The sequence below is a fragment of the Homo sapiens genome, chromosome 14 (assembly GCF_000001405.40).
Source record: "Homo sapiens chromosome 14, GRCh38.p14 Primary Assembly".
NCBI classification, from domain to species: Eukaryota; Metazoa; Chordata; class Mammalia; order Primates; family Hominidae; genus Homo; species Homo sapiens.
Window position 1 is genome coordinate 81,042,728 of NC_000014.9, and position 17,837 is coordinate 81,060,564.

A 17,837-nucleotide genomic window follows, 5' to 3' on the forward strand; every position below is an offset into this window, starting at 1 on the left:
GTAGGGTGACTATAGTTAACGACATTGCATTGTATATTTCAAAATAGCTAGGATAGAGTGTTTTCAATGTTCTCACAACAAAGAAATGATAAATGTATAAGGTAATTGATATGCTAAATGCCCTGATTTGGTCATTACACAACTATACATGTACTGAAACTTCACCCTGTACCTGATAAATATGTACAATTATAATGTGTCAGTAAAAAACAAAACAAACATAAGAGCCGTATATAAAAAACCCACAGCCAATATCATACTGAATGGGCAAAAGCTGGAAATAATTCCCTTGAAAACTGGCACAAGACAAGGATGCCCTCTCTCACCACTCCTATTCAACATAGCATTGGAAGTTCTAGGGCACGCAGGCAAGAGAAAGAAATAAAGAGTATTCAGATTCAAAGAGAAGAAGTCAAATTATCTTTGTTTGTAGATAACATGATCCTATATCTAGAAAACCCCATAGTTTCAGCCCAAAAGCTTCTTAAGCTGATAAGCAACTTCAGCAAATTCTCAGGATATAAAATCAATATTCAAAAATCACTAGCATTCCTGTACACAAACAACAGGCAAGCAGAGAGCCAAATCACGAATGAACTCCCATTCACAACTGCTACAAAAAGAATAAAATACCTAAGAATACAGCTAACCAGGGAGGTGTAAAGTCTCTACAAGGAGAACTACAAACCACTGCTCAAAGAAATCAGAGGACATAAACAAATGGAAAAACATTCCATGCTCATGGATAGAAAGAATCAATATTGTGAAAATGGTCATACTGCCCAAAGTAATTTATAGATTCAATGCTATTCCCATTAAACTACCATTGACATGCTACACAGAATTAGAAAAAACTATTTTAAAATTAATATGAAACCAAACAGAGCCCAAATAGCCAAGACAATCCTAAGCAAAAAGAACAAAGCTGGAGGCATCATGCTACCTAACTTCAAACTACACAACAAGGCTACAGTAATGAAAACAGCATGGTACTGGGACAAGAACAGACACATAGACCAATGGAACAGAAAAAAAGAACTCGGAAACAAGTCCACACACTTACAAACATCTGATCTTCAACAAACTTGGCAAAAACAAGCAATGGGGAAATGATTCCCTATTTAATAAATGGTGCTGAGAGTCCTGGCTAGCCATATGCAGAAAACTGAAACTGGACCCCTTCCTTACACCATATACAAAAATTAACTCGAGATGGATTAAAGACTTAAATGTAAAATCCAAAACTATAAAAATCCTAGAAGAAAATCTAGGCAATACCATTCAGGACATATGCACAGGCAAAGATTTCATGATAAAAACACCGAAAGCAATTACAACAAAAGCAAAAATTGACAAATGGGATCTAATTAAAGTAAAGAGCTTCTGCACAGCAAAAGAAACTATCATCAGAGTGAACAGACAACCAACAGAATGGGAGAAAAGTTTTGGAATGTATTCATCTGACAAAGGTCTAATATCCAGAATCTACAAGGAACTTAAATTTACAAAAAACAAACAACCTCATTAAAAAATGGGCAAAGGACAGGAATGGACACTTCATAAAAGAAGACATACATGGGACCAACAATCATACGAAAAAAAGGTCAACATCACTGATCATTAGAAAAACCCAAATCAAAACCACTATGAGGCCGGGACAGTGGCTCATGCCTGTAATCCCAAAACTTTGGGAGGCCAAGGTGGGCGGATCACGAGGTCAGGAGATTGAGACTATCCTGGCTAACACGGTGAAACCCCTTCTCTACTAAAAACACAAAAAATTATCCAGGTGTGGTGGCATGTGCCTGCAGTCCCAGCTACTTGGGAGGCTGAGGCAGGAGACTTGCTTGAACCTGGGAGGCGGAGGTTGCAGTGAGCCGAGATTGCGCCACTGCACTCCAGCCTGGGCGACAGAGCAAGACTCTGTCTCAAAAAAAAAAAAAAAAACACACACACACATGCACAATGAGATACCATCTTACACCAGTTCAGAATGGCTATTACTAAAAAGTCAAAAAACAACAGATGCTGGCGAGATTGCAGAGAAAAAAAGAATGCTATACACTGTCGGTGAGAGTGTAAGTTAGTTCAACTATTGTGGAAGACTGTGTGGTGATTCCTCAACAATGTAGAGGCAGAAACACTATTTGACCCAGCAATCCCATTACTTAGCATATACCCAAAGTAGTATAAATCATTCTATTACAAAGATATGCACACATATATTCACTACAGCACTATTCACAATAGCAAAGACGTAGAATCAACCTAAATGCCCATCAATGACAGACTGAATAAAGAAAATGTGGTACATACACACCATGGAATACTATGCGGCCATAAAAAGGAATGAGATCATGTCCTTTGCAGGGACATGGATGGAGTTGGAAGATACTATCCTCATCAAACTGATGCAGGAAGAGAAAACCAAACACCACATGTTCTCACTTATAAGTAGGAGCTGAAAGATGAAAAAAGAGCTGGGCTTATGTCCATGTCTGGTTTTGGTAACAGAGTAATGTTGGCCTTGTACAATGCATTAGGGAGAATTGCCACCTCTTCAATTTTTAGAAACACTTTGGGAAGATTGGTATTAGTTCTTTATACATTTGGTAGAATTCCACAGTGAACCCATCTGATCCTGGGCTTTTCTTCAATGAAAGAATTATTATTTATTTTAAGTTCTGGGATACACGTGTAGAACGTGCAGGTTTGTTGCATAGGTAAATGGGTGCCATGGTGGTTTGCTGCACCTATCAACCCGTCAGCTAGGTATTAAGCCCAGCATCAATTAGCTATTCTTCCTCATGCTCTCCCTCCCATGGCCCCCAACAGGCTCCAGTGTACATCGTTCCCCCTCACGTGTCCATGTGTTCTCATCATTCAGCTCCCACTTGGTTTTTTTTCATCATCACTGCTGTTTCAATGAAAACATAAATTCAAACCAATTTCACATTTACTGAATAATTATGGAAGCTAGAAACCCACAGGGTAATTACACAAATACAAAATACCTACCTAAATAATATCGGACATATACTGGGTATTTTGGTTACCTACAGCTACATAAGTATTTACTGTAAAATATAAAAGTTTAAAACAACTACCAATTTAACATCTCTAATGATAGTGTATATCAGGAATTGGGGTAAGAGATAGCTGAATCATTCTCATGGCATCATCAGAGTTTACTCACTGGTATTCAGATGACAAATGGGCTTTTCTGGAGAGTCCAAGATGGCATTATTCACTTGTCTGCTGCCTTGATAAGGATGGCTGAATGCTAGTCTCAGGTGGAACTTTGCTGCAAGGCTTCCTCTAATGTAACCTCAAAATTTCAGAACACACTTCTGCCACATTCTATAATCAAGCAAATGATCAAAGCCAGCCCAGATTCCCAAAGAGGGAAATTGGTGGCCATGTTTTTACTTCCATAATCAGGGAGAAGGGCAGGAAATATGATCCAGAACAAACAGAAAAATGAGTTAGTAGCAGCAGACACAGAATGACAGAGATGATGGAATTAACAAGAAATGACATTAAAACATCTATTATAAGTCTTCTAAACAACCTCAAAAAAATAAAAGAATGCATAATCATAGTGAGAAAAATGGAAGACATAAAGAAGACCTGAAAGGAACTTCTAAAGTTAAAAATATATAAAATGAAAATAACTGGATGAGATTAACATCAGTGAATACTACAGAAGAGGAAAAAAATAGAACTTAAAGACTTAACAATAGAAACTAGCCAAAATTAAGCCCAGAGAGGGGAAAAAAATATAAAAAAAAAACAAAAAAATTGAGTGCATCAATTACCCATATGACAATATCAAGTGATCTATCTTGTGATCTATCTTATACGTAATTGGAGTTCCAGAAGGAAATGAGAGAGAAAAAAACATAAAGAAAAATTTTAATGCAACAATAATCATATATTTTCCAAATTTGATAAAAACTCTAACCCCATAAATTCAAGAACCTCTCAATGAATCTCAGGAAGAATAAATATAAAGAAAATGATACCAGGACATATCATAATCAAACTGCTGAAAACAAGTGATAAAGAGAGTATCTTAAAAGTAGCCAGATTTAAAAAATACAAATTACCTACAAAGGAATGAAGGTTAAAAGGGAAACAGGCTTATTGTCAGAAACTTCACAGGCTGGAATACAACAGAATAACATCATTAAAGTATTGGAAAAAACCTGTCTACATATAATGGTATATCCAGTAAAAGTGTCTTCCCATATTAAAAGTAAAAATACTTCCTCAGATAAGCAAAAGTTGAGCGAAGTCATTTCCACCAGACCTGTACTAAAAACAAAACACATTAAAGGAAGTTCTTCAAGACAGAAAGAAAATAGAAATTTGGATCTACATAAATGAAAGAAAGAAACAGGCATAGTGGGTAGAAAATATGTGGTTTTAAATCAATGTATAATAATTGAAACACACATACTGAAAGGAAAATTAATGCAGGAGTGTTGACACCTGAAATGCAAATCAAGAATGGGAAGAACTCGCTTTTTGGCCGTTTTTCAAATAAAATTATTTTTTTCCTCATAAACAACAGCACAAACAACGGACACCAATACACACACACACACCCCTCCCCCAAAATGTTTGACTATGGTATTCCATATGTCTGAGTAGAATATATAGGTGATAAACATATACATACTATTTTTGAATGCCTAGCCCATTGCTCTGACTGGATTGAAAATGCCTTAAGACAATTAGGTGTTTTCTCCTTGAATAAAATTCACTGACAACACTTTGAAATTGTAACGATAGATGGTGAATTTATGAACTGCCAAAAGGCATGTGAAAACCAAGAAAAACAGTTACCCTGTGCTAAAGCCCACATTGCCATTTGTTAAGGACAGCTCCTTTCCAGAACACTGGACAGATGACACATGTTTGTTCATTGGCTCTTTTTTTTTTTTTTTTTGAGACAGTCTTGCTCTGTCGCCCAGGCTGGAGTGCAGTGGCACGATCTCAGCTCATTGCAAGCTCTGCCATTCTCCTGCCTCAGCCTCCCGAGTAGCTGGGACTACAGGTGCCCACCACCATGCCCTGCTAATTTTTCGTATTTTTAGTTGAGACCGGGTTTCACCGTGTTAGCCAGGATGGTCTCGATCTCCTGACCTCATGATCCACCCACCTCAGCCTCCCAAAGTGCTGGGATTACAGGTGTGAGCCACCGCGCCCGGCCTGTTCATTGGCTTTTATATAGAAGTATTAACTGAATGCCTGCTATGTTTATGGACAACATTGTAGCTAAGACCCCATATATTATAATTCCTGACATTCACTCAGGACTTTGCAATAGATAGCTCGCTTTTATATCTACCTTGCTTTCTCTTCATAACAATAAATGAGGAGGGTGGATATTATTATCCCTTTTTCAGTTGAGGTTAAGAAAGCCCTGACTCCCAACTCATCACCCTACTTCCTTCACTAAAGCTGTAATATCCTTTAGACTCTGTCATAAACAGAAGCCTTCAGGTCTCAGCTGAATTCAGTTTTTTCATGGGGACTTCTCATATACAGCAGATCTTCCAATAAGGTCGTTTTGTTATAATGTTGATGAAAAAAAACATTGATTCCTGGCCGGGATCACTGTCCATGGGAAGTTCACACATTCTTCCTATATCTACATGGGCTTTCTTCTGTTATTATTAATATGGTTTCCTTCCACATCCCAAAGATGGGCATACTAGGTTCGTTGGCCTGTCTAAATGGTCTCAATCTGATGAGTGCAGGGGTGTATGTGCGAGTGTGTCCTGTAATGGAATGATGTCAAAGGCTGGTTCCTACTTTGCTCCAAGCTGCCAGGATGGGCTCTGGCCACCAGTGACCCTGAGCTGGAATAAGCAGGTTGGAAAATGAATGAATGAATAAATACAAGTTATTATAAAATAAAAAATTTTTAAGTACATGATAATCATACAATAAACAATGCAGTATGAAAGCGCTTAGTGAGATTACTATATTTGTTGTTTGTTTCTGAACTGCGTGATGGTAGGAGGTGCTTCTGACAATGTTCATTTTGCAAACATTTATTCTTTGATTGAATCTACCACCATGATTGCCCTCACTCTCTGATTCACCGAAAATTGAGTAAATCATTATCTTGTTTTTATTTTTCTTTCTTAAATGTATATATAGTTCACATTTATTTCAATGTTTAATAGTATAAGTGTTTTGGTCTTTATTTAGAAGTTTGGTGATGTTTTTGTGACCAGAAATATGCCACAGGAATTTAACTCTTGTTTATATCCATTATCCTATGATAAAATTGGTTTTGTTATACATCATTTTCTTAAAATTGTAGTTTCCAAGAACCTAACCAGGACATTAAGTGAGAATGTACTGTACTCACGTAGGTCTTGTATTATTTCTTCATAGCATATAGTTATTAAAGTGAGATTTTAAAAAAAATGTTTGGCTCCCACATTGGTCTCAGCTTCAGGCAGGCAGAAGCTTTGACTCTACCATAGCAACCCCAGCACTCTGAATAATGCCTGGAGCATGGTAGGCACTCAATATATGTGGTCTACTAAATGTGTGTTGGTTCCTGAAATGCTTCTAGATCAAAACTGCATAGCAAAGGAAGGAATCTGTCTATGGTTATGTAGTTTCAGAATACCATATCTATATGTACTTTATAATGAAAAGCTTGCAGGAAAATTGGCTATTATTACTTTATTAAATGAATTTGAGTCACTCATCCTTTCTTCAGATTATTCATCCATAAAATAACAATGTTTGAAAACCATATAGGTATTAAACAGTGCTCCTCAAAGCCCAGATGGTTCTGTGAGGGTTGAGGAAGAGCAAAGAGATACATTTAAGTTTTTTTCTTTTATTTACATACCAAGTAAAAGCACTACACATATTAAATGGCAGTCCAAGGCTAGGTTTGGTTCTGTGTCCCTACCCAAGTCTCATCTTGAATTGTAATCCCCACGTGTCAAGGGAGAGATCTGGTGTGAGGTGATTGGATCACAGGGACGGTTTCCCCCATGCTATTCTTGGTATAGTGAGTTCTCACAAGAGCTGTTGGTTTTTAAAGTATTCGGCAGTTCACCCTTTGCTCTCTCTCTCCTGCCGCCATGAAGAAGGTGCTTGTTTGCCCTTCACCTTCTGCTACCTTCTGCCATGATTGTGTTTCCTGAGGCCTCCCAAGCCATGCAGAACTGTGAGTCAATTACCCAGTCTCAGGTATTTATTTATAGCAGTACAAAAACAGACTAACACAGTTTATAATAAAATGTTCCCAGTAATATTGAAGGAGCACTATAATGCTCCCTAAGAACTTAGAAACAAATGAAATCAAGTAAATTTTTAAAGTAACATACAATGGATCATAATAAAGACATATAAAATCTCTTAAGGGAAACAGAATAACACCCTACAATACGAAGAAAACATCCATCAGGCAGGAGATTGATCAGCAATAAAGCCAAAGGAAAAGTGGAGTCAGAGATGAGAACTCTGGAAATTCCCAACCGGTCTATGTCCAGGAGAAAGGAAAGTTAAATCAGTGTTCAGACCTTCAGGCAAGGTCATTTTTTGTATGAAACAACAATACTATGCTCTCTTAGCCTGAGAACATTTTTTAAAATGGATTCATCTCCTGTTTTGATTGATTTCATGATTTCAGGCAAACTTCTGAATATTTCATGGTTCCCTAAAATAGTCTGCTGAGAAGAAAAATTGCTCATACCATCACGAATATTCAGACCCATGTGACAGTTGTATTTCTCATCATCAATAAATTGGCAAACTGATTTATGTTTTTGTTTAAAACACCTAGTTAGTGTTCACTATGTTCCTAACATTGTTATAAGTGCTTCAAATAATAATTTATTACATCTTCATAGCAACTCCATGTGGTAGGTACAATCCTATAAAGATAATAATAGTAAAGTAATGCACTTTTTCTGTTAAAAACTATTTTTAATTGACAAATAATTATATCTATTTATGGGGTACAGTAGGATATTTTGATATATGCATACATTGTGGGATGATCAAATCAGGCTAATTAACATGTACACCACCTTACGTATTTCTTTGTGATGAGAACACTTAAAATCCACCCTTTTTTCAATTTTGAAAGATTTGGGAGATTTTATGGGTCCTTTCCAAACCATCACAATAAAGTAAGTCGCACAATTTTATTTTGTTTTCTGGTGCATATAAAATTATGTTTACACTACATGGTGTAGTCTACCAGTGCTAAGATTTCTCTGTAGCATGCAATGCTGTTTGATAGCATTTTACATGCAGTGGAATTTCTTTCAAAATTGGAGTCAATCTTCTCATACCCTGCTTCTGCTTTATCAACTAAGTTTATGTAATATTCTAAATTTCTTTGTTGTCATTTAAACAATACGCACAGCATCTTCACCTGGACTAGATTCCATTTCAAGAAACCACTTTCTTTGCTCATTCATAAGAAGCAACTCCTTATCGAATAAAGTTTCATGATGAGATTGCAGCAATTCAGTCACATTTCAGGCTCTACTTCTAACTCTAGTTCTCTTGCTATTTTCACCACATCCGTAGTTACTTCCTCCACTGAAGTTTTTAACCCCTCAAAATTATCCATAGAAGTTGGAATTAACTTCCTCCAAACTCCTGTTAATGTTGAAATTTTGACCTTCTCCCATGGATTACAAATGTTCTTAATGGTATCTAGAATGATGACTCTTTTCCAGAAAGCTTTAAATTTACCTTGTCTTGGTAACTGTGAATACTGCTGCAGTGAATGTGGAGTGCAGACGTTTCTTCAGCTTACTGATTTTTATTCCTTTGGGTGGCATAGCTGGATCATATGGTATTTCTACTTTTAGTTTTTTAAATAACCTTCATACTTTTTCCAAAATAGTTGTACTAATTCACATTTCCACAACACAGTGTGTGATGGTTCCCTTTTCTCTACATCCTTGCCAACACTAGCTAGCATTCACCTTTTTGATGACAGCCATACTTACAGGTGCAGGGTGATGTCTCATTGTGGTTTAATTTGCATTTCCCTGTTGAGTAGTGATGTTGAGCATTTTTAACTATATCTGTTGGCCATTTATATGTCTTCTTCTGAGAAGTGTCTATCCATGTCATTTGCCCATTTTTAATACGAGTATATGTTTTATTGAGTCATTTGAGTTCCTTATATATTTTTGATATGAGTCCCTTATCAAAATGAGGCCCTTTGACAATATATTTGCAAATATTTTCTCCCAATCTGCAGGTTTTCTTTTCACTCTGTTGATGGCTTCCTTTGCCATGCAAAAGATTTTTTAGTTTGATGCAATCCCAATTGTCTAATTTTGCTTTTGTTGCCTCTGCTTTGGGGGACATACCCATGAAATAATTGCCCAGACCAATGTCAAGGAGCTTTTCTCCTAGTCTTCTCTTATGAGTTTTACAGTTTCAGATCTTACATTTAAGAGTCTCACCCATCTTGAGTTGATTCTACTATCAAGGGAGAGATAAAGTTCCAATTTTATTTTTCTGCATGTGGATAGCCACTTTTTCTAACACCATTTATTGAAGAGACTGTTCTTTCCTCATTGTGTGTTCTTGGCACCTTTGTTGAAAATCAATTGACCACAGATATGTGCGTTTATCTGGGGACTCTCTACCCTATTCGATTCATTGATGTGTCTGTTTTTATGGCAGTACCCTGCAGTTTTGGTTACTATAACTTTGTGATGTATTTTGCAATCAGGTAGTTTAACGCCTTAACCTTTGTTATTTTTGCTCGAGATTGCTTTGGTTATTCAGGGTCTATTGTGGCTCCATACAAATTTTAAGGTTGTTCTATTTCTGTGAAAAATGACATTGGAATTTTGATAGGATTGCACTGAATCTGGAGATCACTTTGGGTAGTATAGACATTTTAACAATATTAATTCTTCCAATTCATGAACACAGAATATCTTTCCATTTCTTTGTGTCTTCAATTTCTTTTATCAATGTTTTATAGTTTTCAGTGTATAGGTTCTTCTCCTCCTTGGTTAAATTTACTCCAGAGTATCTTATTTTTTATAGCTATTGCAAATGGAATTGTTTTCTTAATTTTTTTCAGATAGTTCATTGTTACCATATAGAAACACTATTAAATTTTGTATGTTGATTTTGTAACCTACTTTACTGAATTTTATTCATCAGTTCTAACAAATTTAGGGGGCTGAGGGAGGGGAGAGGGAGAGGGAGAGAGATTTGTACTGTACTGTAAAGAATTGGTTCACATGATTATGGAGGCTAAGAGGCTCAAGAGAAGCAGTTGGAAAACTGAAGACCCAGGAGAGCCAAAGGTATAGTATCAGTCAAAGTTGAAAGTCCTGAGAACCAAGAGAGCTGATGGTATAAATTCTGGTTTGAATCCAATGGCCTGAGAACCAGGAGAGCCTGTGGTGTAGAATTTAGTCCAAGTCTGAAAGCAAAGAAAATTGATATCCCAGCTTAAAGACAAGCAGAGATAAATAATTTTTCTTACTGAGCCTTCAATTGATTGGATGAGGCCCATTCACATTGGGAAGGGCAAGCTGCTTTATTGAGTTTACCAATTCAAATGTCAATCTCATCCAGAAACATCCTCACAGACACAACACGAAATAATGTTTAAGCAAATATCTTCATATCCCATGACCCAATCAAGCTAACACATAAAATTAAGCATTATACTTGTGTACACAAATAGACATTTTTAACTTAGCTGTGCATTTCTCCAAATCCTTTAGCAAATTACAAATACCAATCAAGAATGCTGACGGAAACATACCTACTTGTGTGACTACAAGTTAAAACACTGATAACACCAGGTGTTGGTGAGGATGTAGAGTTGACTGGAACTCCTATAGATCACTGGTATGAGTGAACATGTTACAATCACTTTGGAAACTGGAAGTTTTTGTGATAGTTAAGTATACACTTACCTATGATCCATAAATCATATTCCTAGATATTTACCCAAGAGCAATGAGTATGTGTGTCCATAAAATGATTTGTACATGGATGTTCTTCATAGCAGCTTTCTTCATAATAGCCCCAAACTAGAAACAACCATCAACTGGAGAATGAACAAAAAAATGCATATTCATAATTAGCAATAAAAATCACTACTGATACATGTAATAACATAGATTTGTCTCAGAAACATTATGTTGAATAAAAGAAGCAAGGCAGAAAAGTGGCTAATTTTTGATTATTTATGTGAAGTTAATAAACAAGAAATCTGTGATGATAGAAGTCAGAATAGTAGTTATCCTATAGAAGAGCAGGATTGCTGATATAGTTTGACTGTGTCCCCACTCAAATCTCATCTTGAATTCCCACATGTTGTGGGAGGGACCTGGTGGGAAATAATTGAGTCATGAGAGCAGGTCTTTCCTGTGCTGTCTTCATGATAGTGAATAAGTCTCACAAGATCTGATGGTTTTAAAAACAGGAGTTTCCCTTCACAAGTTGTCTTTCTTTGCCTGCTGCCATCCATGTAAGATGTGACTTGCTCCTCCTTGCCTTCCGCCATGATTGTGAGGCCTCTTCAGCCATGTGAACTGCAAGTCCATTAAACCTCTTTTTCTTCCCAGTCTTGGGTATGTCTTTATTAGCAGTGTGAAAATGGATTAATACAGTAAATTGGTACTGGGAATGGGTTGCTGCTGAAAAGATACCTGAAATGTGGAAGCGACTTTGGAACTGGGTAACAGGCAGAGGCTAGAGCAGTTTCGAGGGCTCAGAAGAAAACAGGAAAATGTGGGAAAGTTTGGAACTTCCTAGAGACTTGTTGAATGCTTTGACCAAAATGCTGACAATGACATGGACAATGAAATCTAGGCTGAGATGGTCTCAGATGGAGATGAGGAACTTGTTGGGAACTGGAGCAAAGGTGACTCTTGTTATGTTTTAGCAAAGAGACTGGCAGCATTTTGCCCTTGCCCTGGAGATTTGTGGAACTTTGAACTTGAGAGAGATGATTAGGGTATATATATCTCTATATATCTGGTGGAAGAAATTTCTAAGCATCAAAGCATTCAAGATGTGACTTGGGTGCTGTTAAAGGCATTCAGTTTTAAAAAGGAAACCAAGCATAAAAGTTCAAAAAATTCACAGCCTGACAATGCAACAGAAAAGAAAATCCCATTTTCTGAGGAGAAATTCAAGCCAGCTGCAGAAAATTGCATAAGTAATGAGGAGCTGAATGTTAATCCCCAAGACAATGGGAAAAATGTCTCCAGGGCATGTCAGACAACTTTGTGGCAGCCCCTTTCATCACAGACATAGAGGCCTAGGAGGAAAAAATGGCATGGTGGGCTGGGCCTAGGTTCCCTCTGCTGTGTGCACTCTAGGGACTTAGTAACCTGCATCCCAGCTGCTCCAGCTGTGACTAAAAGGGGCCAAGATACAGCTCAGACCATGGCTTCAGAGGATGCAAGCCCCAAGCCTTGGCAGCTTCCACATGGTATAGAGCCTGTGGGTACACAGAAGTCAAGAATTGAGGTTTGGGAACCTCCTCTTAGATTTCAAAGGATATATGGAAATGCCTGGATGTCCAGGCAGAAGTTTGCTGCAGGGGTGAGGCACTCATGAAGAATCTCTGCTAAGGCAGTGCAGAAGGGAAATTTGGGGTGGGCACCCCCACACAGAGTCCTCACTGAGGTACTGCCTAGTGGAACTGTGAGAAGAGGGCCACCATCCTCCAGACCCCGGAATGGTAGATCCACAGACCACTTGCACCATGCACCTGGAAAATCTACAGACACTCAACACTAGCCCATGAAAGCAGCTGAGAGGGAGGCTGTACCCTGTAAAGCCACAGGGGCAGAGCTGTCCAACACCATGGGAACTCAACCCTTGCATCAGTGTGACCTGGATGTGAGACATGGAGTCAAAGGAGATCGTTTTGGAGCTTTAACATTTGACTGTCCTGCTGTATTTCAGACTTGCTGACTTTTTGGACTTGTAGCCCCTTTGTTTTGGCCAATTTCTCCCATTTGGAATGGCTGTATTTACCCAATACTTGTATCTGCATTGTATCTAGGAAGTAACTAGCTTGCTTTTGATTTTACAGGCTCATAGGTTGAAGGGACTTGCCTTGTCTCAGATGAGACTTTGGACTGTGGACTTTTGAGTTAATGCTGAAATGAGTTAAGACTTTGGGAGACTGTTGGGGAGGCATGATTGGTTTTGAAACATAAGGACATGAGATTTGGGAGGAGCCAGGGTGGAATGATATGGTTTGGCTGTGTCCCCACCCAAATCTTGAGTTCCCACATGTTGTGGGAGGGACTCAGTGGGAGGAAATTGAATCATGGGAGCAGGTCTTTCCTGTGCTGTTCTCATGATAGTGAATAAGCCTCATGAAATCCGATGATTTTAAAGATGGGAGTTTCCCTGCACAAGCTCTCTCTCATTACCTGCTGCCATCCATGTAAGACATGACTTGCTCCTCCTTGACTTCTGCCATGATTATGAGGCTTCCTTAGCCACATGGTACTGTAAGTCCATTAAACCTCTTTTTCTTCGCAGTCTCGGGTATGTCTTTATCAGTAGCGTGAAAATGAACTAATACAATTCCTGATTGGAAAACTACACAGGAAACTTTCGGGATGATGGAAATATTTTATATTTTGATCCAGGCCCTGGTCTCATGGGTTTATGTGTACATATATGCATACATATATGTAAAGTATAAGTATACTTATATACACCGAAGTATATAAATATGCATTGTAGACTTGTGCATCTCACTGGGCGTAAAGTATGCCTTAATAAAGAACTGTGAAAAATAGCTTCAATACAAAAAATTATGCTAAATAATGAAATGAAACCAAATTTAATATTTTCAACAATTTGGAGACCTAAACCAATACTTGTGAATAGACAACTCTCTCCCAGATGGCCTAAGCTGAGCAATTTCCATAAGTCAAACTTATCAAGCTATTGCTTGAGTTTCTGGGGTTCAGATCACACACAAAAAAAGCCCAAATCAAAACTCTGTTTGACCCTACATAATAACTCACAAATCCACTTGGATTCTGGCCAGTATGCCATTCTATTTCAGCTGCAGTGTCACACCTTGCATTGTAGACATCATATCACCTGATATTTTTGTATCATTTGTAAATAATTTAGCAGCAACACTGACTAAAATTTACTATACCACCCAAAATACAAAACACAAGAGAATGACAAGTTAAAATTATTTTATTTTAAAAAATAGTCTATATGCAAATAGTCCCAAGTGTTTAACTGCATGATCCTTGTGGGTCTACACCCCTGATTTTAAATCCTATGCTTGCTGTATTCTTTCACAGTTTGCCACAGAGTATTTTCTTAATGCACAACAGTAAAACAAATTCACCAATGAAAATTTATTCTTGGCTGGGTGCAGTGGCTCACACCTGTAATCCCAGCACTTTGGGAGGCCAAGGCAGGTGGATTACTTGAGGTCAGGAGTTTGAGACCAGCCTGGTCAACATGGTGAAACCCCGTCTCTACTGAAAAAACAAAAATTAGCTGGGTGTGGTGGTGGGTGCCTGTAATACCAGCTACTCAGGAGGCTGAGGCAGGAGAATCGCTTGAACCCCAGAGGCAGAGGTTGCAGTGAGCCAAGATTGCACCACTGTGCTCCAGCCTGGGTGACAAGAGTGAAACTCCATCTCAAAAAGAAAAAAGAAAAGAAAAAAGGATTTATTCTCACCAAAATAAGAACACAAGGCAAGTGATAAATGTCACATTAAATTGTATTAATATTGCCTAATTTGTAATCCACAACTTCACAATATAAAAAATATGGATTATTTTTACCAATTCCCTCTTTTTCTACTATGAATACTTTCTATACTCACATAGAATAGTTCAGTGAAATATACTTGGTACACCTCAGTGAAATACTGGCTGATTGATTGACACAGGTGGTTAATACAAGAGGCCCTTAAGATGAAGATGACATTGATATTATACAAACACGCAGAATCACAAAATACTCTCAGCCTGTTTGCCAGGAGGCAAATAGGACACACAAGTGGGAAGTTTGGTGTTTCTGGACCACACAGTCTCTGCCACGGCAAAGAAGATCAGCCAGCCTCCTCAACTCAGTACAATTCAGACATGGTCATGAGGTAGGGGCTATAGTGAGAAATGTGTTAGAACCCACACCTATATATGCACATATGCAACACAAGCTATGTGTTTAAGATTCCAGAAACTGTGTAAGAAACAAGATGTTGGAATGTTGATTGGATTTACATGTTGATGAAATTTCAGTCAACTAAGCCTAGTATCATGCAAGATTACTGTGAAAAGTTTAATTGTACCAACTGCTCTTGTTTGGAACAAAGAACTGTCAGCTCTCTTTACATTAACCATATTTCTCTCCCCCATTGCTACTGCAAGAACCAAAAAGAGAGTACTTAAAACTGGGTTCTACCTGCAAAATCTGCAAGTCAGTCAGTCATGGTTTACATGCATGTCAATTTCTACATTATATTTTCCTAAGGCAGACATTTGACAGATATAAATCTTGCCTCAGCAAGGCCCAAAGGAAACATTTGTCATACCTCCAATGGTCATTCTTGATTAAAGAAATCACAGCAAAACAAATTGGAATTGCAAACTCAGCTTATATCTTTTCTCTCACATAATTTCTATATCTTGAAGCCAACTTCTTTAACCATAAAATGTGCATTCTCCACATAGGATACAAGACTATAGCTGTGAACTATTTTCCCAATGAGTTACATATGATGCCTTAATCGTTAATAGTAAATAGATGTACTATTTGTATGAGGTGAGGTTTTTTTCTCATATTTTAGAAAGAATCATCATTGTCTTCTTATTGTGAATTATCAAAGGCAAATAAAAAACAGCCTCTTCAGTACCTAGCATATTTTCATTAGAAACAAATTCTATTGCGATGCAAATTCTTTGGACAAAAGTGAAGCACTTTGAAGATTTTCTAATATTTTTGTCAAAAGAATACACATGTAGATGTGTACTTTGCCTTTTCCATAAATATTCAAAATGTATTCTGAAATTAAAATAAAATATTTCTATAAAATAAACACATTCACTTGGTGTTTTTTCTTTCATTTGCATTTAAAGCAGTAATCACAATATCACAAGATTCTTTGAGTAAAAGGCCTTCTCTTGAAAAGGTAGATAATAGAAAGAACATCCAGCCCCTTGCCCCTAGATGGAGGGATAAAAACAGATAGATGACAAACATTCTATAAATTAACTCTAGCCACAAAACTACTGCAAATCAAAACAACCACAAAACCTCCACAAAGGTTATGTGCATGCCGGAGCACATGTGTCTGGGGGTCATGAGGCATCCACATATTACAATAAATTTTCCCCACAACCCTTATTGTAAGGTTGAACTATTAGGGAAAAATGGAGCAGATGCTCTCTAAATAAATATGATGTCTTTATTTAATTTCCTAGATGCCATGCCCTCACTAATTATTTTTGTTCTTTATTTGAAGGGAAATAGATACCTTAGAAGAAAACTCCTTTTAAATGTTTTCATAAGCTCAATCAAACTAATCACATGTTAAAAGCCAGAAAAGAAATTAAAGGAGAGCTTAAGCTAATATGATGAATTTTAGAGAGGCAACCAAGGCAATTTATACCAAAAGTCAACAAAATTTACACAAACTCAATTGTGTATTTTTTTAGATTATGCGCACATTACTATGAAAATATCCAGGCAAAATGTATGAACTGTTAAATTGCAATTGAATTTGGCAATCTATACAACTAGTTGTCATTCTAATAATTCATTTAACATTATTGAAATCAGTATTTTGTCCCAGCGTGTTATCATGATATTAACTGAATTTATTCAAAAAGGAGACATTATTTTTATCTCAGGCTGATTGCTAGCACCCTCAACTTCAATTTTGTTTGATTTACTGTGCATATTGTATTATTACTAAGACAGATGCTCTGAGACACATAATCCTTATTGGTCTATATATATTGGTGAGCTTTCTTTGGTAAAAAAAATCTGGCTGGGAAAAATATCTTGTTTGTGGAATTAAGCAAAACATTAGCATTTCAAATATTTTTGTCTTTTAAAACACCTTGTGCCACAACTAACTCAATAGTGGGAAAAAGATCTTTGTTCAGAACTGTATGTGTGTAAAAGAGAGAGAGAATTCAAGAAACAGGTGTTATATATTTCAGAAACTCATACTTCGGGAAAGAATAGAAACATTATTTGAACCTTTAGCCCAAAGACTATCCAATTGCACTTAGATGCTATTTCTGTTCCAGGTTAATTTCTTAGAAACCATTGCAATCTTATTCTAGTTTCCTATTTAATTTTATATATGTTATTTACTTTTGAACATGGGCTAAACTCAAAAAATTTTAGTCAGTGAAGGTTACAGTTTAGTCCCATATTACCTACAATCTTACCGTAAGTATGCCCACAAAATGTTTGCCTTACGACAGCTCTATGAGTAAGACTATCTTTGAGCTTAAACTCAATCGCCTTGGGTGATACTCAACAGGTGTGTATCTTTTGTTTTCCTTTGGCATGGCCCAATTTTACACAGAGATTTTGGTAGAATGACTTGTTCTTCTCATATCTTTTTAGCTTCAGAATCCGGATAACTCAATTAAGGAAATAAAAGTGGGAGACCTTCAAAGGAGAACAAGTAATTTATGGGACCTGAATTTCTGAAATAATATTAAGGCAACATTGGGCTTCATGGCAAAACACCAGAGGTTGGGAAGAGTTGCAGATTTACTCTTTTGACATTCACATCACCTCCCTCCCTCCATTTTAATAGATGCTTTTACCA

General features: G+C 37.1%; 1 protein-coding gene and 1 long non-coding RNA gene across 6 annotated transcripts in view; one reads left to right on the top strand and one right to left on the bottom strand.

Moving 5' to 3' along the window:
* TSHR (thyroid stimulating hormone receptor) overlaps positions 1-17,837 on the top strand; it is a 190,686-nt gene that overhangs the window by 87,107 nt on the left and 85,742 nt on the right. The window lies entirely within an intron of this gene.
* Positions 1-17,837, bottom strand: part of TSHR-AS1 (TSHR antisense RNA 1) — a 156,341-nt gene that overhangs the window by 28,662 nt on the left and 109,842 nt on the right. For all 3 annotated transcript variants that reach the window (XR_001751022.2, XR_007064290.1, XR_001751018.3), the window contains one exon: positions 3,197-11,089. This is a non-coding gene — a long non-coding RNA (TSHR antisense RNA 1). The remainder of the gene's footprint in view (positions 1-3,196; positions 11,090-17,837) is intronic.